The following is a 26,735-nucleotide window of genomic DNA, read 5'->3' on the forward strand; positions in this document are numbered from 1 at the left end:
TTTCTTTTAAAAAATTTTCTCCATCATCTGCAACTTAAGAAAATGTCGCTGTCCCATAGGAGGAGGCAGATTCAAGAAAAGATGTGGGTGTCAGATAATGGCAGGTAGTACAAGTTGATAAAAAGGTGACAGAGACCAGAGGATCTCATTTTCTTTTTTTTCATTGCTTCTTTTCCTGTGGAGGGCAGGCAAGGGAGGAGAGATGCATCAGCTATTTCTAGTGAGTCTAGATGCAGGAAAGGCATGCCTGTGGAGGGTAAATTTGCACTGTGATTGAAATAGGGGAACTTAGGATACAGGACCCATGACATGAAGTGAGGAGCACTTTGGAAAAAGAGCTGCTTTTAAATTTCTGAAAACTTTTTAAATAAGCAAATGTGCAAATGATATAAAATACAATAGGGTCAAAAGAATGTACAATGAAAAGTCTTTTTTTAATTTCTCCTCAGTCCCCTTTTTTTCCTCCCAAGAGACAACCTCTGTGACCAGATTTTTGTATATCCTTCCAGAGCTTACCTCTGTAAATAGAAACATGTGTAGGCCTTGTGCTTCTCCTTTAGCAACAGCACCATAGTATGTTTGTTGTGCACCTTGCTTTTTCCACTTAACAATCAAACATGGAGATTGGCTAGGCATGGTGGTGCTCACCTGTAGTCCCAACTATTTGGGAGGCTGAGGTTGGAGGATCACTTGAGCCCAGGTATTTGAGACCAGCCTGGGCAGCACAGGAAGACTCCTTTCTAAAATAAACAAAACTCAGAAACTTGGCTGGGCACGGCGGCTCACATGTATAATCTCAGCACTTTGGAAGACCAAGACGGGAGGATCACTTGAGGCCAGGAGTTCAAGACCAGCCTGGGCAATGTAGCAAAACCCCATTTCTACTACATATACAAAAAATTAGTAGAGCTTACTGGCACATGTCTGTTATCCCAGCTACTGGGGAGGCTGAGGTGGGAGGATGGCTTGAGCCCAGGAGTTGGAGGCTGCAGTGAGCTATGATTGTGCCCTGCACTCCAACCTGAGTGACAGAGTGGGACCCTGTCTCTAAAAAACAAAACAAAATAAAAAATGCCGGGTGCAGTGGCTCATGCCTGTAATCTCAGCAATCTTTGGAAGGCTGAGGCAGGAGGATTTCTTTTTTTTATTTTTTGAGATGGAGTCTTGCTCTGTCACCCAGGCTGGAGTGCAATGGCATGATCACAGCTAACTGCAACCTCCGCCTCCTGGGTTCAAGCGATTCTTCTGCCTCAGCCTCCCGAGTAGCTGGGACTACAGGTGTGCGCTGCCAGGCCCGGCTAATTTTTGTATTTTTTTTTTTTAGTAGAGATGAGGTTTCACCATATTGGCCAGGCTGGTCTTAAACTCCTGACCTCATAATCTGCCCACCTCAGCCTCCCAAAGTGCTGGGATTACAGGCATGAGCCACCACCGTGCCTGGCCTGGCAGGAGAATTTCTTAAGCCCAGGAGTTAGAGACCAGCCTGGGCAACATAATGAGGCCCTGTCTCTAAAATAAATAAAACTGTCAACAACAAAACATGGAGACTGCTCCATATAGTACCCTTAAGAGCTGCCATGTTCTGTTTAATGGCTGCCTCCCGTCCCATTGTATAGATGTGTCATACTTTATTTGGCCAATAAAGGACCATGTCTTCCTCATTTTCCTTGCCTAATTCGTTGCACAAAGCAAGGGCTCAGTAAACATTCAATGCTTGCTCACAAATTAATTACATTTTGTACAACTTGTTCATGTTTTTCCTCATCTCTCCTTTCAGAGATACTAATTTTTTTCAATATTCCAGATATTGCAGAATGTCTATATTTTCCAGCTGACCAAGTCTATCTTGTGCACTGAACAAACCTGTGCTACCAGACTTCCAAGACTCACTTTAGTTTGGCTCCTCTCAGATGATATTATTTCCTATTCCCTCCTACTTTCTATTTTTTAATTTTTTTATTTTTATTTTTGAGATGGAGTCTCATTCTGTTGCCCAGGCTAGAGTGTAGTAGCACAATCTCGGCTCACTGCAACCTCCGCCTCCTGGGTTTAAGCGATTCTCCTGCCTCTAAGCGATTCTCCTGCCTCAGCCTCCAGAGTGGCTTGGACTACAACAGGCGCCTGCTACCACGCCTGGCTAATTTTTTTTTTTTTTTTTTTTTTTTGTATTTTTAGAAGACTCAGGGTTTCACCATGTTGGCCAGGCTGGTCTCAAACTCTGACCTCAGGTGAGAGTTCTGAGGTTACAGGCATGAACCACTGCACCTGGCCTATTTTTAAAAATTTCTTGGCCGGGCGCAGTGGCTCACGCCTGTAATCCTAGCACTTTGAGAGGCCGAGGCGGGTGGATCACGAGGTCAGGAGATCGAGACCATCCTGGCTAACACGGTGAAACCCGTCTCTACTAAAAGTACAAAAATTAGCCAGGCGTGGTGGCGGGCGCCTGTAGTCCCAGCTACTCAGGAGGCTGAGGCAGGAGAATCGCTTGAACCCAGGAGGCAGAGGTTGCAGTGAGCCGAGATTGCGCCACTGCACTCCAGCCTGGGCGACCGACAGGGCGAGACTCCACCTCAAAAAAAAAAAAAAAATTTCTTTAGACACAGGGTTTCACTCTGTCACCCAGGCTGGAGTGCAGTGGCTCAACTATGGCTCACTGCAGTCTCAACCTTCTGGCCTCAAGTGATCCTCCCACCTCAGCCTCCCAAGCAGTTGGACTACAGGCACACACCACCATGCCCCACTAATTAAAAAAAAACATTTTTGGAGAGACAGAGTCTGGCTATGTTGCCCAGGCTGGTCTTGAACTCCTGACTCAAGCAATCCTCCTGCCTCAGTCTCCCAAATTGTTGGATTACAGGTATGATTCACTGTGCCTGGCCTCCTTCCTACTTTCTAATGCCAAGCATCACTGTCATGTGCAAACATTTATTGTTCACTTACTATGATGTACAGAAACTTTTTTTCCTATTTCCTATTGTCTCCATGTCCATATCTTTGCTTACGCTAATCCTCTCACCTGGAATTTCCTTCCTGTTCCTGTCAAGTATTGTGCCTCCAGTTCTTTTCTCTCTCTCTCTCTCTCTTTTTTTTTAAGAGATGGGGTGTTGCTATGTTGTCCAACCTTGTCCCAAAATCTTGGCCTCAAGTGATCCTCCTGCCTCAGCCTCCCAAAGTGCTTTAGCCTCCCAAAGTGCTAAGATTACAGGTGTGAGCCATTGTGCCCGGCCTAATTCTTTTCTTCTTGAACTTTTGTAGTTTAAGTGGTCAACACTCCCTGGAGTAGCAGGTACTTTTTTTCCTACAATCATTTCATATAGGGTCTTTATGTATTTCCATGGCAGTAATAACTCTGGCACTAATAACACTGGTCTTCAGTAAATAGTTGATTGCTGAGCAAGCCTTATAGAGAAGAGCATCTGTCTAGTGAGAAGCTCTCCAGCCTTCCTGGGTTTTCTCTCCATCCTATCTTTTTTTCTTTTTTTTTGTTTGAAATGGAGTCTGGCTCTGTTGCCCAGGCTGGAGTGCAATGGCATGATCTTGGTCCATTGCAAACTCCACCTCCCAGGTTCAAGCGACTGTCTTGCCTCAGCCTCCTTAGTAGCTAGGATTACAGGCACCTGCCATCATGCCCGGCTAATTTTTGTATTTTTAGTAAAGACGGGGTTTCACCTTGTTGGCCAGGGTGGTTTTGAACTCCTGACCTCAGGTGATCCACCTTCCTCGGCCTCCCAAAGTGCTGGGATTACAGGCGTGAGCCACCACGCCCAGCCAGCTGTGTGGTTCTTAAGGGGTCCCATTCATTTTATAACGAGTGTTTCTCAATTTTGTTTATTTATTAATTTTTTTGAGATGGAGTCTCTCTCTGTCGCCAGGTTGGAGTGCGGTGGCGTGATCTTGGCTTACTGCAACCTCTACCTCCCGGGTTCAAGCAATTCTCCTGCCTCGGCCTCCCGAGTAGCTGGGATTACAGGCGTGTGCCACCACACCCAGCTAATCCAGGGGTTTCACCATGTTGGCCAGCATGGTCTCGATCTTCTGACCTCGTGATCTGCCCGCCTTGGCCTCCCAAAGTGCTGGGATTACAGGCGTGAGCCACCGCGCCTGGCCTTCTCAATTTTCTTAAACTTATACTCTCCTGCTGGGCGTGGTGGCTCAGGCCTGTAATCCCAGCACTTTGGGAGGCCAAGGCGGGCAGATCACCTGAGGTCAGCAGTTCGAGACCAGCCTGACCAACATGGAGAAACTGTCTCTATTAAAAATACAAAATCAGTCGGGTGTGGTGGTGCATGCCCGTAATCCCAGCTACTCGGAGGCTGAGGCAGGAGAATCGCTTGAACCCAGGAGGCAGAGGTTGCGGTGAGCCGAGATCGCGATATTGCACTCCAGCCTGGGCAACAAGAGCGATACTCCGTCTCAAAAAAAATGAAAAATAACAACAACAACAACAACAAAAAACAAAAACGTATACCCTCCCAAATGAGATTTGTTCGAACCTGACTTTCTATAGTTTGCAGCTCAAAAACAATAGGGGCCAGGAGCAGCGGCATGCACCTGTAATCCCAGGCACTCAGGAGGCTGAGTGAGGAGGATTACTTGAGGCTGGGTGCCCAGGGATTCAAGACCAGCCTGGATAACGTGGCAAGACCCTCATCTCAAAAAGCAATAGAGTTTTCTTCTCAAATATGAAATGATGTAACTGAATATATTCTTTTCCAACTACCCTCTCATTCATTAGGGGCTTCCTTCCGACTGGGAAGCAGTGACTTCTGGAAAATTATTCTAATTTTGCGATATCCATGAGTACAGCATCATATCCAATGTTCAAAACGTTAACACTCTAGGCCGGGTGCGGTGGCTCAGGCCTGTAATCCCAGCACTTTGGGATGCCAAGGCGGGAGGATGACGAGGTCAGGAGATCGAGAACATCCTGGCCAACACATTGAAACCCTTTCTCTACTAAAAGAAAATACAAAAAATTAGCCAGGCGTGATGGCTGGCGCCTGTAGTCCCAGGTACTAGGGAGGCTGAGGCAGGAGAAAGGCGTGAACTCGGGAGCCGGAGCTTGCAGTGAGCCAAGATTGCGCCACTGCACTCCAGCCTGGGCGACAGAGCGAGACTCTGTCTCAAAAAAAAAAAAAAAAAAAAGAGTAACACTCTAACTTCTCCTAAAATAAAATCCATCTGTTTGCTTTATATCTATTTTCAATAATTTGAGAAACGAACACCCAATTCTGGGTGAGGGGTGGTAGTGAGGCTGGACATGGTGTTTCCTGTTTGTTTTAGCACACACCAGGCCCAGTGCCACAGGAAAAAACAAAATTCCAAGAAAGGATTGGGGAGGCCGCTTTTCATGTGACTACTGCCTGCCTGTCAGCGCTAGCCTCTTCTGACTCTAAATTACAAGTGGAAGAAAGCACGTTAGAAACCCACAGAACTGGCCCGGCGCGGTGGTTCAGGTCTGTAATCCCAGCACTTTGGGAGGCCGAGGCAGGCGGACCACGAGGTCAGGAGATCGAGACCATCCTGGCTAACAGGGTGAAACCCCGTCTCTACTAAAAAAAGAGAAAAAAATTAGCCGGGCATGGTGGCGGGCGCCTGTAGTCCCAGCTGCTCGGGAGGCTGAGGCAGGAGAATGGCGTGAACCCGGGAGGCGGAGCTTGCAGTGAGCCGAGATCGCGCCACTGCACTCCAGGCTGGGTGACAGAGCGAGACTCAGTCTCAAAAAAAAAAAAAAAAAAAAAAAAAAAAGAAACCCATAGAACTGACTGGGGGATGGGGCACTTGCCTGCCTTCTTTATCAGTGTATCCCTCAACGGAATCACTGTTTATTTTTTTATTTTTTGAGAGGGAGTCTTGCTGTGTCGCCCAGGCTGGAGTGCAGTGGCACGATCTAGGCTCACTGTAACCTCCGCCTCCTGGATTCAAGCAATTCTCCCTGCCTCAGCCTCCGGAGTAGCTGGGATTACAGGTGCCCTCCACCACGCCCAGCTAATTTTTGTATTATTTAGTAGAGACAGGGTTTTGCCATGTTGGCCAGGCTGGTGTTGAACTCCTGACCTCAGGTGATCCGCCTGCCTTGGCCTCCCCAAGTGCTGGGATTACAGGCTCAGTGAGCCACCAATCCCGGCCCCAAATCGACTGTTTTAGGGAGAGCAAACTGAGACATGCCATTTATTGAACGCTCTTTTATATCTTCCTCGGTGCGGGGTGTTTTTCCAATTATTAACTATTTAATCTTCACAAGCTCACGACAGCCATTCGTAACCTAATTTTGCAGATAAGGAGCTAGACACTCATTTGGGGGGGAGAAGAGGAGGACTGGAGTTCAGAAAGTGCATTTGATGCTCTTATCCTGGAGGCTGGAGCTAGTTCACCTCCCTGGAGAACAGCTTTTGGGAATCCCGTTTGAAATTGCCGCTCAAGGCCAGCTCGGCATCCAGCCTAGGAATTGGAGGATTTTGGAGAATCCCCTTAGGGGGAAATGTTTAAAAGTGCAAAGTGAATAGTAGAAGCCCCTCTCCTCGTCACTAGGGGTACATTTGCCGTTTTCTTATCAACAGCCTCTCAAGTACAAGCATCTGGGACAAGAACTAGAACCGTGCTTGGGGCAGCCCCCACGTCCTCTCGGGAACAGGGGTGGAGCGCTGGCGGGAGTGGCTGAGGGCGGCCCGCCGCCGACACTGTGTGCAGGAAGCGGGCGCTTTGTCTGCTCTCCCACCGCGGAGAACACGAGGCGGAGGCGCGCCCCAGCTGGCCACACGCTGCCCAGGGCCGGCGTCGGTCAAGAGCCCTCTCTTCAAGCAGGATTAAGAGGGAACCAAGGGGCTGGCAGAGGGGCCTCAGAAGCTCCTGGGCGAGGCCTGAGCCCGTGGGTCTCGACACTAAAATCTGGCGAGCTCCCTGCGCGTCCGCAAAGATTTTGGAGCTCTGAAGAGCCCGGCGACGCCTGCGCTGGCCAGGCGCCGTGCCCACGGGAGGCGCCGTCCTCTTTGTAACTCGAGCAGACCCTGGCGGGCCAGTTGCTATGGCAATGTTCCTCGCTCTGCTCGGTGAGGCCGGGAGGTAGGCGGGCCTTGGCGGACGTCACCCACATTCGGCTTTGGGGAGCCGCCCCACCCCCAACTAATTGTTTGCCAGAAAGGAACCGTAGGATAGATGCTTTGTGAGACATCTACGGGGCCATGTTAGAACAGAAAGTCGCGACAGCCTCTTTCTCCGTCAGCCTCTTCACAAATCCCTTCGTGCCAACGATTTTAACGGTCCTTCAAAGCCAGGAGGAGGGGGCGTGGTAATTCGAGGGGTTTGTTCGAAGGGCCACGCCCTTTCCTCGGCCTTTGGATTTTTCCAGGCCGCGCCCACGGCGGGGGGGTGGGGGGGGGCGCTAGTTCTAGACCACGCCCCTTCCTTGTTCGCTCGGAAAGAGGACCAAAATGGAGGAGTAAGAATCATGATTAAATTGAGCGAGCGCAACTAATCACGCGAAGAGGGCCGCAGGCGGGCCGTCTTCCGCAAGCGTGCTTCCAGGCCTCCACTCCCCACCTATTCGGCGGCACCCTGTTACTTCTGCTCCTGCGCGCTGCTTCCCGCGACCTCACAGGCAGAGCGAACACGCACGGAGTCGCAGGGGCGCGCAAAGGGGGAGGAGCGGGCGTGACCAGGCGCGCGCGCGCGTCTGGAGTGACTCTAGAGAGCAGGCGAGTCGGGCGGATCGGGTGGGTAGAGTGGTGCCGTCCGGTTGTTTGGTGGGAGGCACGTAAGACCGCTCTGGGCACGGGGGCGCTCACCTCACTGGCTCGTTCGGTTCTAGGAGCAGATCCGGGGTAGAGGGAAAAGAGCTCCGGGCCAGGGGCTGCCGTCGCCGCCGTCGGGGAGTCAGCCCGCCAGCCCGCCAGCTCGTCAGCCCGCCAGCCAGCGCTTCGCGGGCCCTGTCGGTCCCGGTAAGCGGGCCTGCGCTTACCGGAAAGAGGAGCGTAAGATGAAAGAGTGTGAGAGACCATTGGGGGTCTGTAGGGGGAAGGGGAGTGGGGGCGTGTGTAAGGGGCAGGGTGTGTGAGGAGGAGAGGAACCCCAGCAAAGAGTAGTAATAATAATGGCCACCGTCACACGATAATATTCGAGTAATATGTGCGGGGACTTTACAAAGCATCTCATATGCTTCATTTTAACTTCTACTCCAATCCTCCGAGGTGCGTACTGTTATCAAACCCATTTTACAAGATAGGAAAACCGAGGCACGAAATAGATTAAGTGGCTTATGCAAGGACACACGACTACTACGTGGCCTGGCCTGGCTTCGAACTTAGTTATCTTAGTCCTAAGGCCCGTAATTTTAACTTTGCTTTACCAAACAAAAACAGAAGAAGAATGGCGTGTCAGAAGGAGGAGGACTGAGTGTGATTTGAAGTGGAAGGATGATGATAAACGAGAAGAGAATGATGATGGGAGACGGAGTAGTGGGGAGGAGGACCTGAATTTGGAATCTTGCGGGCCTCCCCCTTCTAAATCGCCGCCTCTTCCTTAGTTCTTGCGGCCCCATAACTTTTTCTTGGTGTTCTATGGCTTTATGAATGGAGGAGCCAACTCACAGACCTGGGCCATTCGGGTGGTTTTAAGAAGTTTGAACTGCGGTTCAATCCAGGGCAGTGCCTTGAGACACTGTTTGGAGGTAAGGGAGGGTCAGAGGATCCTCTTAAACGCTGCTGCTATTTATTTCTTCAAACGTGCCACTTCCTTTTCTATCATATCTATGCACGGCAAAGCCTTTGTTCAGTCCTCTAGAATAAGGAAGTGATGTTTATTGTTTCCTTGTACACTTGGGCTTAAACGAACAAAATCAGACTCAACGTTTCTTTTCCCGAGCAAGGCCTTGATTGCTTGCAGAGAAAACTTTCCTGTGGCTTTATCATTAGTTGCCCTTCAGAGCTTTCCTGTGTAAATAAGAAGCTATGTTTTGGAGAAGTTTACACCGTAGATGAACGGGAGCGATCTGAACATACTGCACTGCAGGTCAACACAGAGCAGGGACTTCAGTAATTCATAGGTGTGAGTGTGTTTGTGAAAACCTTTCCTTCTTGCACAGTTTTCTGTGTAGCTCATGTGGGAGTCAAGTTTTTAAGTCAGCCCGTGAGGCAAACATTGTATGTAATAAAAATTAACCCTTAAAAATTCCTAGGAAGGTGCAACGCTTGAGATTAGCATCCTGTTTCTGACTACATCCTGGACGGTTTTTCCTTCAGTTTTGAAACTTGTTACTGTTGCTTTGGTTGTAACCCAGATAAGTAATTAGATTACCTTTAGGGGCTGTGTTGTGCAAATAAGCATATTTGAAAGCCATAGAGTTGTGATGCGCTGTGAGATGCTTGCCCTGAGGAGGCTTAAAAGGAGGAAGACAAACCCCTATCTTAGGCTCATTTTGGAGCATGTGCTTACAAAGTGGAAAGTGGCAGGCAGAATTGCTGGTATGATGATGATGATGATGATGATTTTTTTGAGACGTGCTCTTGCTCAGTCGCTGAGGCTGGAATGCAGTGGCGTAATCACAGCTCACTGCTGCAGCCTTGACTTCCTGGGGCTCAAGTGATCCTCCCAGCTCAGTCTCCTGAGTAGCTGGGACTGCAGGCACACACTACCATGCCTGGCTAAGTTTTTGTACTTTTTGTAGAGACGGGGTCTCACTTTGTTGCCCAGGCTGGTCTCGAACTCCTGGCTCAAGTGATTCTGCAGTCTCAGCCTCTCAAAAGTGCTGGGATTACAGGTGTGAGCCACTGCCCTTATCCTGCTGGTATTTAAGTTGCTATTTTATTTTATTTTTTGGCCAGCATATGCAGTAATTTGACTTGCTAAATTAAATGTGCATAGTGCGATTCCTCTTTAATTTTTGAGTGGCACTACATTCAGGGGCTTGCAAGCTATTGTTTACTTCCCCACAGATCCTAGCTAACTTTGGAGCAAAAATGGCTTACATATTTTTGCCAACTGTCTGGCTTCGGCAGTCCCCATATATATGCCAGATATGTATAACAGTGGTTAGCTTTTTAAAAACCAATTCTCTTTTAAATGGAAGTTAAAGGCGTCTTTTGGTTGTGTGGGGTTTTTTGTTGTTGTTGCTTTTGCTTTTACGGAAACATCTCTCAAAAACTCAGGAGTGATACACCCACTTCCTCCAAAGTAGTTATGGTTATGTTTGAAATGACACCAAAAATGAAGGGTATTATTTCAGTTAGGGAAATAAGGAAGTACCACCGATTTAACATTATATGGGTATAGAAAATGGTTTTAAGGCCTTTTGCAGGGGAGAAATCTTAAGCAAGTTTAGGAATCTAAAATTCTGAGTCGAAACATTTTCTGAATTATGGTCAGATAGTGTAATTTACTCCACATTCATTCTGAACTTCTCTCTTTTCCTGATCTTTATTGTTCTTTTGCAAGCCTGTAATAGAACAAAAACAAGAGAAGAAATTTATTCTGGCTTTAAGAAGTTTCTACTATGTTTTTTGGGGGAGATGCCACATAGTCTACTTAAGTTTAATTACTGTAATTACAGAGAAAAATCTGTGGAAGTATAGGATACCTTGAATAAATGGAATCTTCAAGGTTTGCTGGCAAACCAACAGTTTGATTTCTCAGAAGTTTCTTAGAGAAATGATGCCAGTTTTGTTTTGCTCCAGATTCTCATTGTTGCATCTGCCAATCTTGAAAATAGGAAGCAAAGATTTTCCTTGCTCTGTCCCTTGGGAACCACTTACATTCGTTTTACTGTTTCTAGGAAATTTTCTTTAAATATATACATTAGAGCCCACTATTGTGTTGTGGATCCATGCAGTGGGCTTGCCTTAGAAGTAAGTGCCTTTATGATAAGCTCTTTTTTGTTTGTTTGTTTGTTTTTGAGACGGAGTCTCGCTCTGTCGCCCAGGCTGGAGTGCGGTGGCGCGATCTTGGCTCACTGCAACCTCTGCCTCCTGGGTTCAAGCGATTCTGCTGCCTCAGCCTCCCGAGTAGCTGGGACTGCAGGCGCGTGCCACCACAGCCAGCCAACGTTTTGTATTTTTAGTAGAGACGGAGTTTCACCGTGTTAGCCAGGATGGTCTCTATCTCCTGACCTTGTGATCCGCCCGCCTCGGCCTTCCAAAGTGCTGAGATTATAGGCGTGAGCCACCATGCCCGGCTTTTTTGTATTTTTATAACCAGGCCTTGTACGTTGTTTGCCATAATAATAACAGCATTCGTCAGAGACCCAATCATGTTGAATTTTTTTCTCACAGAATACTTTCCCCTCCCTGATTTTTCTCCTGGAAAATACACCATGAATCATTCTGTTTCTGGTTGAATGATTTACACCAGCCATCTTTAGTCCTACTGTTGAATTGCTGCATAGTTTCTTTTTAATTTATGTGTTTAAAAGTAAATACTGGCCGGTGGATCACAAGGTCAGGGGTTCAAGACTAGCCTGACCAATATGGTGAAACCCCATCTCTACTAAAATACAAAAAATAGCTGGGCGTGGTGGCGTGCACCTATAGTCCCAGCTACTTGGGTGGCTGAGGCAGGAGAATTGCTTGCACCCAGGAGGCAAAGGTTGCAGTGAGCCAAGAGTGCACCACTGCACTCTAGCCTGGGCGACAGAGCAAGACTCCATCTCAAAAAAAAAAAAGTAAATACTAACTAAAATTCTGATTTGCATTGTGGTTTTTAGGGTTCAGATTAGCAAGTGGGATTGTTTTTTAGCACTTAAATCCCTCACTTCATGCTCTGTTTGCACAAATCTAAAGAGGCACTGGTATGTCTAAAGAGGCACTGGTATTGTTTATTACCTCTAGTTGTATTTGACTTTGGGATTGTAGAGAAAAATAATTTCCTTTTGTGGGATGGGGGAAGAATCCCATGCCAGTATTCATCATATGGGTACAAAGGCTTGAGTGTGAGAGTTTAGGTCCACATTCTTTCAGGTTTTCAGAGATCTCAGGTACATTGAAAATGGCTAAGATGATTCCTGTAGGACTGTTTCCATGATTTGGTCTCTGTGCAAAGTGATGTGAAAGTCATGGATAAGGGCATATTTGTGGTAACGGAATTATTTTGGTCTAGTCTACAGAGAGCTGAAAAACTAGGGTAGTGGTTTCACTTCTGTGGCAGAGGACTGCTGGGCAGAAGTTTCAATAACTTCAGTTTCTTCAAGAAAGAACTGTGTGTGTGTGCGTGTGTGCATGTGTGTGTGTGTGTTGACAAAGTTTCTCCATCATATAAAATGGAGAATAAATATAATCTTAATGTTTTAAACTAATGAAGTGATTGTAAAATATTATTTTGATGTCTTTGTTGTGTTGACATCTTATGTGTGTGTAAACTTACATGATTTTAAAATGTTTTACAATCTAGATCAGACCAAACATTGTCTGGCTTGCACTGTAAAACTAGTTAGCTGAAGACGACTTCTCAGGTTTCTTCAGGATGCCTGCAGCACTTGTGGAGAATAGCCAGGTTATCTGTGAAGTGTGGGCCAGTAATCTAGAAGAAGAGATGAGGAAGATCCGAGAAATCGTGCTCAGTTACAGTTATATTGCCATGGTAAGGAGCTCTACTCTGACTCACCTTCTTTGTCACTTTTAAAGTTGGGGTCTTGCTCTGTTGCCCAGGCTGGAGTGCGGTGGCTATTCACAGATGCAATCATAGCTCACTGCAGCCTTGAACTCCTGGGCTCAAGCAGTCCTCCCACCTCACCTTTCCAGGTTGCTGGGACTGCAGGCTCATACCACTATGCCCAGCTTGACTCACCTTCTTATATGGATGGGTTTAGGGAATGTTTAATTTGAGATTTTGAAAAGAATGGGTATGTTCCACTAAAGCCATTGTAAATTAAACCGGATGGAAGGTTGTGTTGCTTCATGAAATATCAAGGTAGCCAGTGTCTCTGAGAAGGATGTAACCTCTAGTATCTTAGATTTTTTATAACATTATTCTGTTTGAAAGTCTTTAAAGCAGAAGTTACGTCATCCCCTAGGGCCCAGCTGTTCCACAGATATGTTGGATTTGACTATACGATGTTAAGAATTTTAAAAATTTATTGCCAGCATTTAAAAGTCAATAGAACTCACTTGAATTCCAGATTTCTGGCATCTCTGAAAAAAAAAAATAGGAAGATCTGGCAATATCTGTTATCCACTCCTGCCTGACACTGGCTGGAGAGAGAGATGAGTATTGTGGTAATATTAAGGGCCTCCTGTAGACGGGCATGTGCTCTCTGTTTTACTCCAGTCCCGATTACTTGTACTATTTTCATACCTAGCTGACTTTACTCCTTTACATTAGCTGCTTGGAGTTTGTGACTCCTGCTTTAGAAATTATAGAGTTGGCCGGGCGCGGTGGCTCACGCCTGTAATCCCAGCACTTTGGGAGGCCGAGACGGGCGGATCACGAGGTCAGGAGATTGAGACCATCCTGGCTAACACGGTGAAACCCTGCCTCTACTAAAAATACAAAAAATTAGCCGGGCATGGTGGTGGGCGCCTGTAGTCCCAGCTACTCGGGAGGCTGAGGCAGAGAATGCGTGAACCCGGGAGGCAGAGCTTGCAGTGAGCCGAGATCGTGCCACTGCACTCCAGCTTGGGGGACAGAGCGAGACTCCGTCCCAAAAAAAAAAAAGAAATTACAGAGTTAAGTCTTTAGCTTGGTATTCAGAGCTCCTTCCAGTCTTTTCACTCAAGCTAAGCCTGTCTCTTTATATTTTTTTCTGAATGGCTGTTTCACTTCCCTGTATTTGTATTTTTATTCATATATTGTTCTCTACCTAGAATGTTCTTAATTGACTGCATATCTACCTGTAGTTACTCAACTCTTTCTATTGACATTCTGCTTATTTAGGATCAAGTTGTTGTGCAAAGCTTCATGATTTTAGTGCTTCTTCAGTAGATACCAACAAGATCAGTATTTTAAGATAGGATTTTGGCTGGGTGTGTTGGCTGATGCCTGTAATCTGTGCACTTTGGGAGGCCGAGGCAGGTGGATCACTTGAGACCAGCCTGGGCAACATGGTGAAACCCCATCTCTACAAAAAAATACAATAATTAACTGGGTGTGGTGGTGTGCACCTGTAGTTCCAGCTACTTAGGGAGGCTGAGGTGGGAGGATTGATTGCACCTGTGAGGTTGAGGCTGTAGTGAGCTGTGATTGTGCCACTGCCCTCCAGCCTGGGTGACAGAGACAGACCAACCCTATCTCAAAAAAACACAAAAAGAATTTTGTGCCCAAGTTTGGGGCTTGCCACATAACTTTTATAAATGGAGGTAAAATTTTATTTATGAATTACCAATTCAGCATCCACTGTTTTGTGAAACCTTGTGATGAGAGACTTTTTCCTTTTCCAGGACACAGAATTTCCAGGTGTTGTGGTGCGACCAATTGGTGAATTTCGTAGTTCCATAGATTACCAATATCAGCTTCTGCGGTGCAATGTTGACCTTTTAAAAATTATCCAGCTGGGCCTTACATTCACAAATGAGAAGGGAGAGTATCCTTCTGGAATCAATACTTGGCAGTTCAATTTCAAATTTAACCTTACGTAAGTGATTTCTAAATAAATGCGTTAATTTTAAGTTTTGTTTTCACTGAATCCAGGTGGGTGTTGGATAGAGCGGTCAAGCAGAGGACGGAACAGGGAATCTCAGCAAGTGAAGTCCTGCTTAAAGAACTGCAGCAGCTCAACAATGAAAAGATAAACAACCCAACTAAAAATGTGCAAAAGATAGACTTTTCTTGAAAGATAATGTACAGATGGCCAGTAAGCACATGAAAAGATGCTCAACATCATTAGTCATGAGGGAAATGCAAATTAAACCCACATTGGGATACCACTTCACACCCACTAGAATGGCTATAGTCAAAAAGACATAATAAGTGTTGTTGAGGGTGTGGAGAAAATTGGAACCCTCATACATTGCTGCTGGGAATATAGAATTTTGGGGGAAATTCTGGAAAATAGTTTTGCAGTTCCTGAAAAGGTTAAACATAGAGTTGCCATATGACCTAGCAATTCCACTCCTAGGCAGTGGAAAATTCCATGGTATGTATATACCGCATTTTGTTTATTCATCTGTTGATAGACACGTGGGTTTTTTCTACCTCTTGACTGTTGTGAATATTGCTGCTATGAACATGGGTGTGCAAATATTTCTTCAAGGTCTTGCCTTCAGTTCTTTTGGATGTATGCCCAGGAATTTTCAAAGAAAATTTCGGGGAGACTGTCATTTTGCTGATTGCATAAAATGATGTTAGTGTACTTCCTATTGTATCCTGCTTTGTTTAACTGGGCATCGGGAGTGTTTCATGATTTAGGAGTAATCTTTTTTTCCTGTCAATACAGGGTCTCGCTTTGTCACCCAGGCTAGAGTGCAGTGGTGCTAACATGGCTTACTGCAGCCTCAATCTCCCAGGCTTATCTGATCCTCCCACGTCAGCCCCCTAAGTAGCTGGGACTACAGGTGCACGCCACCATGCCCAGCTGATTTTTTGTAGAAAGTGATCAGCCCGCTTTGGCCTCCCAGAGTGTTGGGATTACAGGTGGAGCCATTGTTCCTGGAAGGAGTAATTTTTTTTATTGTTGTTCGTATGTTTTGGAAATTTCCTTGAGGTTCAAGTAATTTTGGGAGATCATCTGGATCTTTCCTTTAACTGCATTTTTTAGTTTATTGTCAAAGCCTGTAGTTTGTACCATAAAAATAATATAATACAAGGAAGAAAAATGAGTTATTTCACTGAGTGGTTTGGGTATGTTTGGGTTTAAAATAATGTTTACTTGCAGCCGGGCGTGGTGGCTCACGCCTGTAACTCCAGCACTCTGGGAGGCCGAGGTGGGTGGATCACTGGATCACTTGAGGCCAGGAGTTCAAGACCAGCCTGGCCAATGTGGTGAAACCCCATCTCTACTAAAAATAAAAAAATTAGCTGGGTATGCTGGCAGGTGCCTGTAATCCCAGCTACTCAGGAGGCTGAGGTGGGAGGATCACTTGAACCTGTGAGGTGGAGGCTGCAGTGAGTCGAGATTGTGCCACTGCACTCCAGCCTAGGTGACAGAATGAGACTCTGCCTCAAGAAAAAGAAAAAAAATAATGTTTACTTGGGATTGAAGCCTAGTTATAATAAGCAAAACAAAAAAAAAATGTTTATTTAAGTGGAAAAGAAACTTGTGATTCATCATTGGTTTTAATTTAGTGGAAAAAAATCAAGATTGCAGTGGTTTTCTTATTGTCTAACCCAAGTTTATATGAAAAGCAAGTGAAAGTCTAGTGGAACAGGAGTCGTTTAGCTTATTTCCTTACTTTTGTATTACATGGTATTATAAATAATTCCTGTGGTTGAATTAATGGATATATCTTTAGAGTGGAATATTATGACAGTGTTACAATGGATGAGTATTGATTTGTAAAGATGGTCTGTGATGTAGAGATGTAAGGGATGTAGGTGTGTATGTGTAGATAGAGAAAATAGTCTGGAAAGATCTGTAAACAAAGGTATTGGATCTGTGGGGTAGCATTATACGACCATTAATTTTTTCAGTTTTTTTCATGACAGAGTCTTTTAGATAATCATCTGTATACCAAGTAATAACATGTTACAAGTTATTTAATTCTGTCATCTAGTAATTTTGATTAAGAGAAACTACAAGTAGCTCAAACAATTACACTAGTATTCATTGTTTGAACCATTAGCAGGAATAGACTACTTTAAGGCTGGCTGTTGCTTCACGTGGGTTACAAATAACTATTTGCTACTTTTTCATAGATAAAGCCCCTGACCTTCATGGAAGCATTAGGGAAAAAGAAAACTTAATTTCTTTCTTTCTTCAAAGAACTTTTTTCCTTTCACTAGATATAAGAAAGAAAAAGTCAACAATAATACATGTGTTGCTTGAGCTAAAAGACATAGGAGAACAGACAACACATACCCATTACATTTCTAGGAAATACGAGGTAAAGAGAAAAAAAATTTTTAATGTCTTTTTTAAAATATAAAAGCTTTAGTTAAGTTGTAAGTCTGTACAAAGAAGCTAGATTTGCTACTCTCCAAGAAGTGAAGGGACCTGCTATGTAATATACAGAAATCATTTACTTCCTTTCCTTTTCTTTTTTTTTGAAACAGAGTCTTGCTCTGTCACCCAGGCTGGAGTGCAGTGGCACAATCTCAGCTCACTGCAACGTCTGCCTCCCGGGTTTAAGCAGTTCTCCTGCCTCAGCCTCCCGAGTAGCTGGGATTACAGGCGCCCACCACCATGCCTGGATAATTTTTGTATTTTTCTAGTAGAGACGGGGTTTCACCATGTTGGCCAGGCTGGTCTCGAACTCCTGACCTTGTGATCCGCCCGCCTTGGCCTCCCAGAGTGCTGGGATTACAGGCATGAGCCACCATGCCCCACCTATTTACTGCCTTTTCTTTTTCTTTTCTTTTCTTTTTTTTTTTTTTTTTTGAGGTAATGTCTTGCTTTGTCACCCAGGCAGGAGTGCAGTGGTGCAATCTCGGCTCACTGCAACCTCCACCTCCCAGGTTCAAGCAATTCTCTGCCTCAGCCTCCTAAGTAGCTGGGATTACAGGTGCCCACCATGCCTGGCTAACTTTTGTATTTTTAGTAAAGACGGGGTTTCACCATCTTGGCCAGGCTTGTCTTTAACTCCTGACCCTCGTGATCCACCCACTCTGGTCTCCCAAAGTGCTGGGATTACATACAGTTGTGAGCCACCGCACCCGACCTATTTACTTCATAAGAATATAACTTGAGCTTTGCCAAAGCTTTATGTTCCCTGAGGGCATCTAAAACGCCAGTTCATGGAACAGGCACTTCTTTCTCCCACTCCTTTCCATTTATGCTGTAGTTTTCATGGATTTCTGCTCAGTGTCACAGACGGTGGCCAAGAGGCTATCCAAGCCTTGTTCTGCCAGAAGTAGGTCTGGAGGCTGGTCCTCTTCTGGGCTTCCTACGCCACTTGAGTGCTGCAGCTACTGGGATTCCAGGGCTGTGGCTTCCTTGGCCTGGACCACTTCCTCCCTCTGCAGGTGGTACTGTTAAGTTTCATCCTTAGCTGCTCCTTTGATCTACTTCAGCCTCTGGGTCTTTTGCTCATGGGCCTTGGATACCTTCTCAGTGGCACATTTCTCAGCCTGCAGCAGCTGCTGGATCCCCTGAGACTCACTGGCCATGGTGGCGGTGTCTGAGTCTGAGGCAAGCAGCCTGAATCAGCTGGAAGGCGCGTCAGGTCATCTTAGCTGGCTGCCCACCATCTGTGCCTCAATATTTTTTTGTTGGTTTATTTTTTTTTTTTGAGATAGAGTTTCGCTCCTGTTGCCCAGGCTGGAGTGTGATGGCGCTTTCTCAGCTCACTGCAACCTCTGCCTCCCAGGTTCAAGCGATTCTCCAACCTCAGCATCCTGAGTAGCTGGGATTACAGGCATGTGCCACCACGCCCTGCTAATTTTGTATTTTTAGTAGAGATGGGGTTTCTCCATGTTGGTCAGGCTGGTCTCGAACTCCCGACCTCAGGTGATCCACCCACCTCAGCCTCCCAAAGTGCTGGGATTACAGGCGTGAGCCACCCCACCCGGCCTTGTTGGTTTTTTTTTTTTTTTTTTTAAGTTTATTTATTTTTTTGAGACAGAGTCTTGTTCTGTCTCCTAGGCTGGAGTACAGTGGCGCCATCTTGGCTCACTGCAGCCTTTGCCTCCTGGGTTCAAGTGATTCTCATGCCTCAACTTCCTGAGTAGCTGGGATTCAGGGGCATGCCACCACGTCCGGCTAATTTTTGTTTTTTTGTGTTTTTTTTTTTTTTTTTGAGAGGGAGTCTCGCTCTGTCATCAGGCTGGAGCGCAGTGGCGCGAGCTTGGCTCACTACAACCTCTGCCTCCCAGATTCAAGTGAGTCTGCTGCCTCAGGCTCCCAAGTAGCTGGGATTACAGGCGTGCGCCACCACGCCCAGCTAATTTTTGTGTTTTTAGTAGAGAGAGGGTTTCACCACGTTGGCCAGGATGGTCTTGATCTCTTGACCTCGTGATCCGCCCACCTTGGCCTCCCAAATTTCTGGGATTACAGGCATGAGCCACCACGCCTGGCCTAATTTTTGTATTTTTGGTAGAGACAGGGTTTCACCATGTTGGCCAGGCTGGTTTGAACTCTGGGCCTCAAGTGATCTGCCTGTCTCAGCCTCCCAAAGTGCTGGTATTACAGGTGTGAGCCACCATGCCCGGCCTACTTATTTTATTTTTGAGACAGGATCTTGCTCTGTCACCTAGACTAGAGTGCAGTGGTGTGAGTCCCCTCCAGTTCTTGGCCTCAAACAATCCTCTCACCTCAGCCTCCGGAGTAGTTAGAACTACAGGTGCATACCACCATGCCTGGCTAATCTTTGTTTGTGTGTGTGTGTGTGTGTTGTTTTTTTTTTGTTTGTTTTGTTTTTTTTGAGACGGAGTCTCACTCTGTCACCCAGGCTGGTCTGGAACTCCTGGTCTGAAGTGATCTTCCTGCCTTGGCCTTCCAGAGTGCTGGGATTACAGGCGTGCACCACTGTGCCTGGTGTTATTGGTTTTTTTTTTTTTTTAAATAATGAGCAAATGTATACCTATTATAATTAGGAAATTTAGTTTATGGAGGAAAATCTCATTTTTCTATCTGTCACAGAAATATGATCTACTTTGCATGCTTGTTTGAATGTTGGAAAGAGTGAATTGATCTATTAAGTTAGGAAAAGCATTTCAAAAATACTTGTACTATAATTATAAGGTGGTGGTAATAGTGTGGCCACTACTTCTGTTTCATTATTCACCAGTTAATAAATAAACACCTTGTTTTTTAGAGAGGACATGTACTCCCAGGATTCCATAGATCTCCTTGCTAACTCAGGACTACAGTTTCAGAAGCATGAAGAGGAAGGGATTGACACACTGCACTTTGCAGAGCTGCTTATGACATCAGGAGTGGTTCTCTGTGACAATGTCAAATGGCTTTCATTTCATAGGTCAGTCCTAGGGAATGTGTATTTCTCTCTCACTTTGGGCTACACTGAAGCAGGGAATTGAATTCTTAGTCATTTTTGCAGTCCTAGTGACTGTTCTGTTCAGCAGCAGCAGCCAGAAGTTGAATTGGTGCTTGTTGCCCATGTTTCAGTTTTTCACAAAACACTGGGGCTCATATACTGGTTTGTTTCACACAGTATTTGGCTCTATCATGTGGCTATCAGTGGGTTTAATTCCAAGTGGGAATATGGTGGGTGTAGAGGGTCACAGTACTTGGTTATCTTTTAAATGGCTGTCTCGGAGTTTCTTAGGTACTTGAAAGCCAGATTCTCCTTATTTTAACTTCTCAGTACTTTTGGATTTTTGGTGAATCGAATCTACAATTAAACCCCTTGGGTACTTTTTTATATCTCCCATATTAGTCTGTTAGGTTGTTATTAGAAAGTTCAGATTATAGGCCGGGCGCAGTGGCTCACATCTATAATCCCAGCACTTTGGGAGGCTGAGAAAGGTGGATCACCTGAGGTCAGGAGTTCGAGACCAGCCTGGCCACCATGGCAAAACCCTGTCTTTACTAAAAATACAAAAATTAGCCAGGCATGGTGACGGGTGCCTGTAATCCCAGCTACTTGGGAGGCTGAGGCAGGGATAATTGCTTGAACCTGGGAGGTGAAGGTTGCAGTGAGCCGAGATCGTGCCATTGCACTCCAGCCTGGGCAACAGAGTAAGACTCTGTCTCAAAAAAAAAAAAAAAAAAAAAAGATTCAGATTATAGTACGATAAACTACTCAGAAAAAGTGAAAGTTCCTAACATGAAGTAGCATTTACAAGCTTTGAGAAATAAAATGGTTGAACACTGGGGCCTGATAACCACTGCTTTTTTAACCTCTGTGGTTTATTCTCTTGTAGTGGCTATGATTTTGGCTATATGGTAAAGTTGCTTACAGATTCTCGTTTGCCAGAAGAGGAACATGAATTCTTTCATATTCTGAACCTTTTCTTCCCATCCATTTATGATGTGAAATACCTGATGAAGAGCTGCAAAAATCTTAAGGTATATGATGTTTTTCTTAATACCAGTAACAAAAAGAAGGACAGAAAAAAAGCTGACTTTGCTTTATTGTTACGTGTTCAGCATGCATTTTTGAGTACTAGATGCTAGTGTGGTGGTAGACAGGGTATAATATAAAGCTGATTTGGTCAGATATTTGTGTGGTAACGATCTTTAACCTGGCCATGAAGGGAACCCTCTGCTTCTGTCATCTTAAGGCAGGCATTCTTCACTCGAGGGCCATGAACCTAATGAAAAGGTATAAATGCTGTTTGTTAGGGATGGGGTCTGTGGTATAACAGATTCTTAGAGGAGTTCTTAACTCTAGAAAGTTTTAGAACTTGGTACCGTAATAAATTGTTGACATAGAGCTTTGCTGTCTAGAATTAGAGTGGGATTTACTATTTCCTCAGCCTTGCAATTCTGATTTTAATGGCAGAGTTCTGGAAAAATTAACAACATGGAAAGGAGCAAAATGTAGGATGTAGCACAATATAGCGTCTGGAAAAAGGGAATAAAAGAGCTAAAAAGAGGTTACTAAGGCCTGTTAAATAAATGGCCTGTCCCCACTTCTTGCTAGAATTCAGTGAACTCATAACTGCACTTAGTTGGCTCCAGTAGGGGCATGTTGGGTTTGTAATATTATCTTTGTTCTCCATACATCTCCAGGGAGGTCTTCAGGAAGTTGCTGATCAGTTGGATTTGCAGAGGATTGGAAGGCAGCACCAGGCAGGCTCAGACTCACTGCTGACAGGAATGGCTTTCTTTAGGATGAAAGAGGTAAGCTTCCTTGAATGTGATCACAGGCCTCTCGGCAGTAACTTGCTGAAGGCTAAGGAGGTAGTGGATGGTCTGTTATGTGGGCTGAGGTTTGTTGAACATTTATTTTTTATTTATTTATTATTTATTTTTTTTGAGATGAAGCCTTGCTCTGTCACCCAGGCTGGAGTGCAGTGGTGCGATCTCAGCTCACTGCAACCTCCGCCTCCCGGGTTCAAGCTTTTCTTCTGCCTCAGCCTCCTGAGTAGCTGGGATTATAGGTGCCCGCCACCATGCCCTACTAATTTTTGTATTTTTAGTAGAGACAGGGTTTCGCCATGTTGGCCAGGCTGGTTTCAAACTCTTGACCTCAGGTGATCTGCCTGCCTTGGTCTCCCAAAGTGCTGGGATTACAGGCATGAGCCACTCTGCCTGGCCGAATTTTTTGTATTTTTAGTAGACACGGGGTTTCACTATGCTGGCCAGGCTGGTCTCGAACTCCTGACCTCAGGTGATCCGCCTGGCTTGGTCTCCCAAAGTGCTGGGATTACAGGCGTGAGCCACCACGCCCAGCCACATAGACTGTTTTTTTAGCAAGTTGATGTCCACTTTGAAAGTGGTTGTTTTTTGTTATGGTATTCTGCATGTCACATGTTTGAGAGGCAAAAGCAGCATTCTGACGTGAAAGCCACTTTCCAGTAACCAAGTATTCTTGAGCACACCCAAGTCCAGAACTTCATGTTCTTGTCAGCTCTAATCCTTTCAGTTATTTGCTTTTTTTCTGATTCCTGTAATAGAAATATATTTGTTAGGCCACCTACTGACATTATGGTAAGTTCTGTTAATTATTATTAAATAAATACTATATTGAATTTACTATAACCCCTTAGTAAAAATTAGACTCTTAATTTCTTCTTTTAGTTTCTTTACTCACTGACTCAGGTTTTAAAATATATTCAAAGATGTAGAAGGAGTAAGACGCTGCTTTGAAAAATTGAAATATTGATTTTGTTGACACTTTTGAGGACCGGATCAGATTAATTGATCTGTAGACATGGATCTCCTTTTTAGAACTAAGATTGTAGAGAGGGAGAGTACATTTCCTCTTTGTTACTCTTAATTATAAACAACTGTTACCATGTGTTGGTAAATGTTCTAGGTCAGTGATTCTCAACTGGGGATGATTTTGCCCTGGAGGGTACATTTGTTAATATCTGTAGATGATTTTGGTTGTCACAATCTGGTGGGGGAGAGTGGTGTGCTACCTGTCAGGATGCTGCTAAACATCCTGTGATACACTGGACAAGTTCCCCCAAATAATTATCCTACCCCAGTAGTGCCACAGTGGAGAGATCTTGCGTTAAGTGCTTACTGTTCGTTATCTCATTCCTCATAATAACCCTATTATCCTGTTTTATAGATAGGGAACTATGGCTTAAAAGGAGTTTAAATGACTTTGCCAAGGTCAAGTGAGTCCGGCTGAATCCACAGCCCAAGCCCAGCCCATTGCTCTGCCTGTTAAAGAGAAGGGAGCAGTTGTGTTAAACAGCAGCAGCACAGAGATACTGGCAGTAAAAGAATACATGGAAAGTATGTTCAGATAGGAGAGCCTTTCTCCTATAGAGAAAGGAGCATGAAAAGACTGCATTAAAAGGAAAGGTTTAGGCCGGGTGCGGTGGCTCACACCTGTAATCCCAGCACTTTGGGAGGCCGAGGCAAGTGGATCACTTGAGGTCAGGAGTTCGAGACCAGCCTGGCCAACATGGTGAAACCTGCCTCTATTAAAAGTACAAAAATTAGTCAGGTGTGATGACATGCACCTGTAATCCCAGCTACTCGGGAGGCTGAGGCAAGGGAATCACTTGAGCCTGGGAGGCGGAGGTTGCAGTGAGTGAAACCCTGTCTCTTTTTCTTTTTCTTTCGAGACGGAGTCTTGCATTGTCACCCAGGCTGGGGTGCAGTGGTGTGATCTCAGTTCACTGCAACCTCTGCCTCTCGGGTTCAAACAATTCTCTGCCTCAGCCTCCCAAGTAGCTGGGATTACAGGTGCCTGCCACCACGCCTGGCTAATTTTTTGTATTTTTAGTAGAGACAGGGTTTCACCATCTTGGCCAGGCTGGTCTTGAACTCCTGACCTCGTAATCCACCTGCCTTGGCGCCCCAAAGTGCTGGGATTACAGGCGTGAGCCACTGTGCCTGGCCGAGCCTTTCTATACTATTAGTTTTTTTTTCTAGTTTGGTATATTTTCAGGGCTTTAGGAAGGCTGGGAGGTGGTGATGTGGTAGTGGTTTTTTTCTTTTTTGAGATGGAGTCTTCGCTATGTTGCCCAGGCTGGAGTGCAGTGGTACGGCCTTGGCCCACTGCACCCTCTGCCTCCTGGGCGCAAGTGATTCTTCCGCCTCAGCCTCCCAAGTAGCTGGGATTACAGGTATGTGCCACCATGCCCGGCTCATTTTTGTACTTTTAGTAGAGATGGGGTTTTGCCATGTTGGCCAGGCTGGTCTCGACCTCCTGACCCCAAGTGATCTGCCCGCCTCAGCCTCACAAAGTGCTTGGATTCCAGACGTGAGCCATTGCACCCGGCCAGATGTGATAATATTTATACTTGTCATGACTTCTAGCATAACTCTCACCATGGTTCTCTGTCCCATTCTGCAGTTGTTTTTTGAGGACAGCATTGATGATGCCAAGTACTGTGGGCGGCTCTATGGCTTAGGCACAGGAGTGGCCCAGAAGCAGAATGAGGATGTGGACTCTGCCCAGGAGAAGATGAGCATCCTGGCGATTATCAACAACATGCAGCAGTGATGGCGCCAGGCTCTGCAGGGTGGGCCTGATCCCAGAGTGGTGCTTACTGTGCTGACTGTGTACTTATCTTCCCCAAGAGAAAATGCTTCTTTTGAGCACACTGTACCTACCATCTGCATTGAGCAGAAAGACTTTTGTTTTACTGAAGACAAAAGATGTTTTTATTTTAGACCCAGAAGAGAGGAGTTTGCTCTGAATTTGTAAATAAGTCTTCCCCATTCCTCATACTCGAGCCTCTCCTCTCTGGTTGCCTCCTGCCACCAGCATCCATGGCTCATTTGACACCTTTTTAAATATCAGGACAAGTCTGAAACAAAGTAGTAAAATGTATATAACTCTTACCTGTTGTCATTCTTTTTCTTTTAAATTTGTTGCTAATCTCTGATAATGAAGATTCTTACTCTGATTCTCAGCTGAGCTGTGAGGGCTTCCAGGGAAAATGGAACAAAATGGTGTTCTTAGGTAATGGGTTGTAGATACTGAGTCTTCCTTTCCTTTTCTGACCCTTCTCGAGGACATTTGCTTTCCTCACACTTTTGTAGTCTCTCTTTACATATTACTATATGGAAATGAATTGCTCTGTGCTGAAATTTGAAGACCAGATAATGAAACTGAAAAGCAAACAATTTTACTGAATCTGTCTACCCTTCATTCATGAGAACTCCAGAATGAGTGTTGACCACTGAAGCATCTTTTAAGTCTGTGTTCCATTGTGCCATTCAGGTTTGCTGTCACATATGCATCATCTGAAATCATTTGAAATTTTTGTACAATAAAATATCCTGGATTTGATCCTGAAGGAAACTAGTAAGATCAGATTTTTGGGTCATGTCTGTTGTATTTTCAGTAATGTGATTTCAGATGGTCATCTGGATTCTCCCACTTCTCTACTCCATTATTTCTCTACTTTTCCTTCCAGCAAACCTGAAACGTGAGGGAGATGGATTAATGTGAGTAACAGGAATGTGTCTTTAAAAAGCTAGAGTGGTTACATTTAATCAGGCAGTAAGATAATTTGGGTTCTTGAGTTGTTTTGGAGTAATATCCCACAACTGGGGTAGGAAGCTCAGGACTTTTTTCTTTAAAGCTAGTCATTTCAAAAGCATATTGTATTTTTTTGAATGACTACAGTATGGACAATTTCAAAAACCAAAACCCACTTTGGATTGGTGGAAGTAAAAACTGGTAACTCACTCAAGTGAATGAATGGTCTTGCATTTTAAAAGCTTATGGGAAACTCAATTTGAAATGATTAGAAAATGTCAAGTATTATAAGCTGGTATTTAAGATGCTTGTAAATACTATTTATGTTTTTAATTTTGTAAAATAAAGATTTCTTTTTAACCACTGGCATTAAGGTTTGGTCTTTCATAGCTATGGATTGCTGGCTCTGGAAGATGGTCATTTGCCATCAGTGAAATAAGAGCATCTTGCCTCCATTGTCCCCAAGTTGGCTTACATACAAAATATCACTTGGGGGGTGGGTTCGGGAATAAAAAAAATACATATCACTTGGTAGGAAGCTTTTCACGAGCACCTGTGTAAATGGAATTGTCTCTTCATACTCAAGATTGTTGGGTCTTAATATTATAGAATTAAACCAGTCTAATATTTCCTGGGGTCACTCCACTATATATGGTGGATTAGCTTGTTAATTAGTGGGATTCTTTTAAACAACCTGAACTTCAGATATCCTAGAGTTGGCTCAAGACTTTGTTTCCAGCCATTTCTGTTGACACAAAATATGTGGGGTTTTAAGAAGTCTGGTACAGGGGCAGATATGGAATTGTGACTGGGAAGTTGACAAAACAAGAGATTTATCACTGTAATTTCTGGTGAAACAGCAGTCAGTGGTTCTCAACCAGGGTGCCCTGGCATGCTGGTGACTGTGAGCGCTATGCAGATACCCTTCCAAATTTGAATTAAAGCAGGACATTTAATATTTTCTACAATTAAGGACTTACTTACATGTCAGGAGAAATGCTCAAAGGGTTGAGGAACTCAGTGTTGAGTGTGGGGTTTGGTCATCATTGCATGTGAGAGTTAAGAGCTTAGAGTAGTGCTTTAGCAAGAAAGAGCACAAGTCTTGGAACTGGCAAGAACTTTGTGTGTATGAGTGCATATAGG

The 26,735-nt window shown here is 44.9% G+C and overlaps 1 protein-coding gene across 28 annotated transcripts, besides 8 other annotated features; it reads left to right on the plus strand.

Annotated features, from left to right (window-relative positions):
• Positions 6,590 to 7,091: an enhancer, noted in NCBI's record as "NANOG-H3K27ac-H3K4me1 hESC enhancer chr5:154236981-154237482 (GRCh37/hg19 assembly coordinates)". NCBI's record gives its function as "activates a minimal SCP1, AML or CMV promoter by ChIP-STARR-seq in primed H9 embryonic stem cells {active_cell/tissue: H9 hESC(primed)}" and the evidence as "EXISTENCE:reporter gene assay evidence [ECO:0000049][PMID:30033119]".
• Positions 7,092 to 7,595: an enhancer, noted in NCBI's record as "NANOG-H3K27ac-H3K4me1 hESC enhancer chr5:154237483-154237986 (GRCh37/hg19 assembly coordinates)". NCBI's record gives its function as "activates a minimal SCP1, AML or CMV promoter by ChIP-STARR-seq in naive and primed H9 embryonic stem cells {active_cell/tissue: H9 hESC(naive and primed)}" and the evidence as "EXISTENCE:reporter gene assay evidence [ECO:0000049][PMID:30033119]".
• Positions 7,092 to 7,640: a biological region, named in NCBI's record as "NANOG-H3K27ac-H3K4me1 hESC enhancer GRCh37_chr5:154237483-154237986".
• On the plus strand, positions 7,418 to 25,961 carry CNOT8 (CCR4-NOT transcription complex subunit 8). 28 transcript variants are annotated; one of them, XM_047417891.1, is made up of 7 exons: positions 7,506 to 7,694; positions 7,808 to 7,937; positions 14,361 to 14,554; positions 19,830 to 19,991; positions 20,899 to 21,043; positions 21,710 to 21,820; positions 24,459 to 25,961. In XM_047417891.1, the coding sequence occupies exons 4-7, from the start codon at positions 19,837 to 19,839 to the stop codon at positions 24,606 to 24,608; spliced, it is 561 nt and encodes a 186-aa protein (XP_047273847.1). In that variant the 5' UTR covers positions 7,506 to 7,694; positions 7,808 to 7,937; positions 14,361 to 14,554; positions 19,830 to 19,836; the 3' UTR covers positions 24,609 to 25,961. The 28 variants fall into 28 exon arrangements, with proteins under 28 accessions (NP_001288012.1, XP_047273847.1, XP_047273846.1 ...); XM_047417890.1 differs by having other exon boundaries at positions 7,686 to 7,712; XM_047417881.1 differs by lacking the exon at positions 7,506 to 7,694 and adding an exon at positions 12,376 to 12,564 and having other exon boundaries at positions 7,796 to 9,042.
• Positions 7,471 to 7,640: an enhancer, noted in NCBI's record as "active region_23488". NCBI's record gives its function as "activates an Ori minimal core promoter by ATAC-STARR-seq in GM12878 lymphoblastoid cells {active_cell/tissue: GM12878}" and the evidence as "EXISTENCE:reporter gene assay evidence [ECO:0000049][PMID:35858748]".
• Positions 7,596 to 8,098: an enhancer, noted in NCBI's record as "H3K27ac hESC enhancer chr5:154237987-154238489 (GRCh37/hg19 assembly coordinates)". NCBI's record gives its function as "activates a minimal SCP1, AML or CMV promoter by ChIP-STARR-seq in primed H9 embryonic stem cells {active_cell/tissue: H9 hESC(primed)}" and the evidence as "EXISTENCE:reporter gene assay evidence [ECO:0000049][PMID:30033119]".
• Positions 7,841 to 7,940: a silencer, noted in NCBI's record as "silent region_16554". NCBI's record gives its function as "represses an Ori minimal core promoter by ATAC-STARR-seq in GM12878 lymphoblastoid cells {active_cell/tissue: GM12878}" and the evidence as "EXISTENCE:reporter gene assay evidence [ECO:0000049][PMID:35858748]".
• Positions 8,001 to 8,060: a silencer, noted in NCBI's record as "silent region_16555". NCBI's record gives its function as "represses an Ori minimal core promoter by ATAC-STARR-seq in GM12878 lymphoblastoid cells {active_cell/tissue: GM12878}" and the evidence as "EXISTENCE:reporter gene assay evidence [ECO:0000049][PMID:35858748]".
• Positions 8,602 to 9,104: an enhancer, noted in NCBI's record as "H3K27ac hESC enhancer chr5:154238993-154239495 (GRCh37/hg19 assembly coordinates)". NCBI's record gives its function as "activates a minimal SCP1, AML or CMV promoter by ChIP-STARR-seq in naive H9 embryonic stem cells {active_cell/tissue: H9 hESC(naive)}" and the evidence as "EXISTENCE:reporter gene assay evidence [ECO:0000049][PMID:30033119]".
• Positions 25,962 to 26,735: the final 774 nt, after the last annotated feature.

This window comes from Homo sapiens, chromosome 5 (assembly GCF_000001405.40).
Source record: "Homo sapiens chromosome 5, GRCh38.p14 Primary Assembly".
Lineage (NCBI taxonomy): Eukaryota > Metazoa > Chordata > Mammalia > Primates > Hominidae > Homo > Homo sapiens.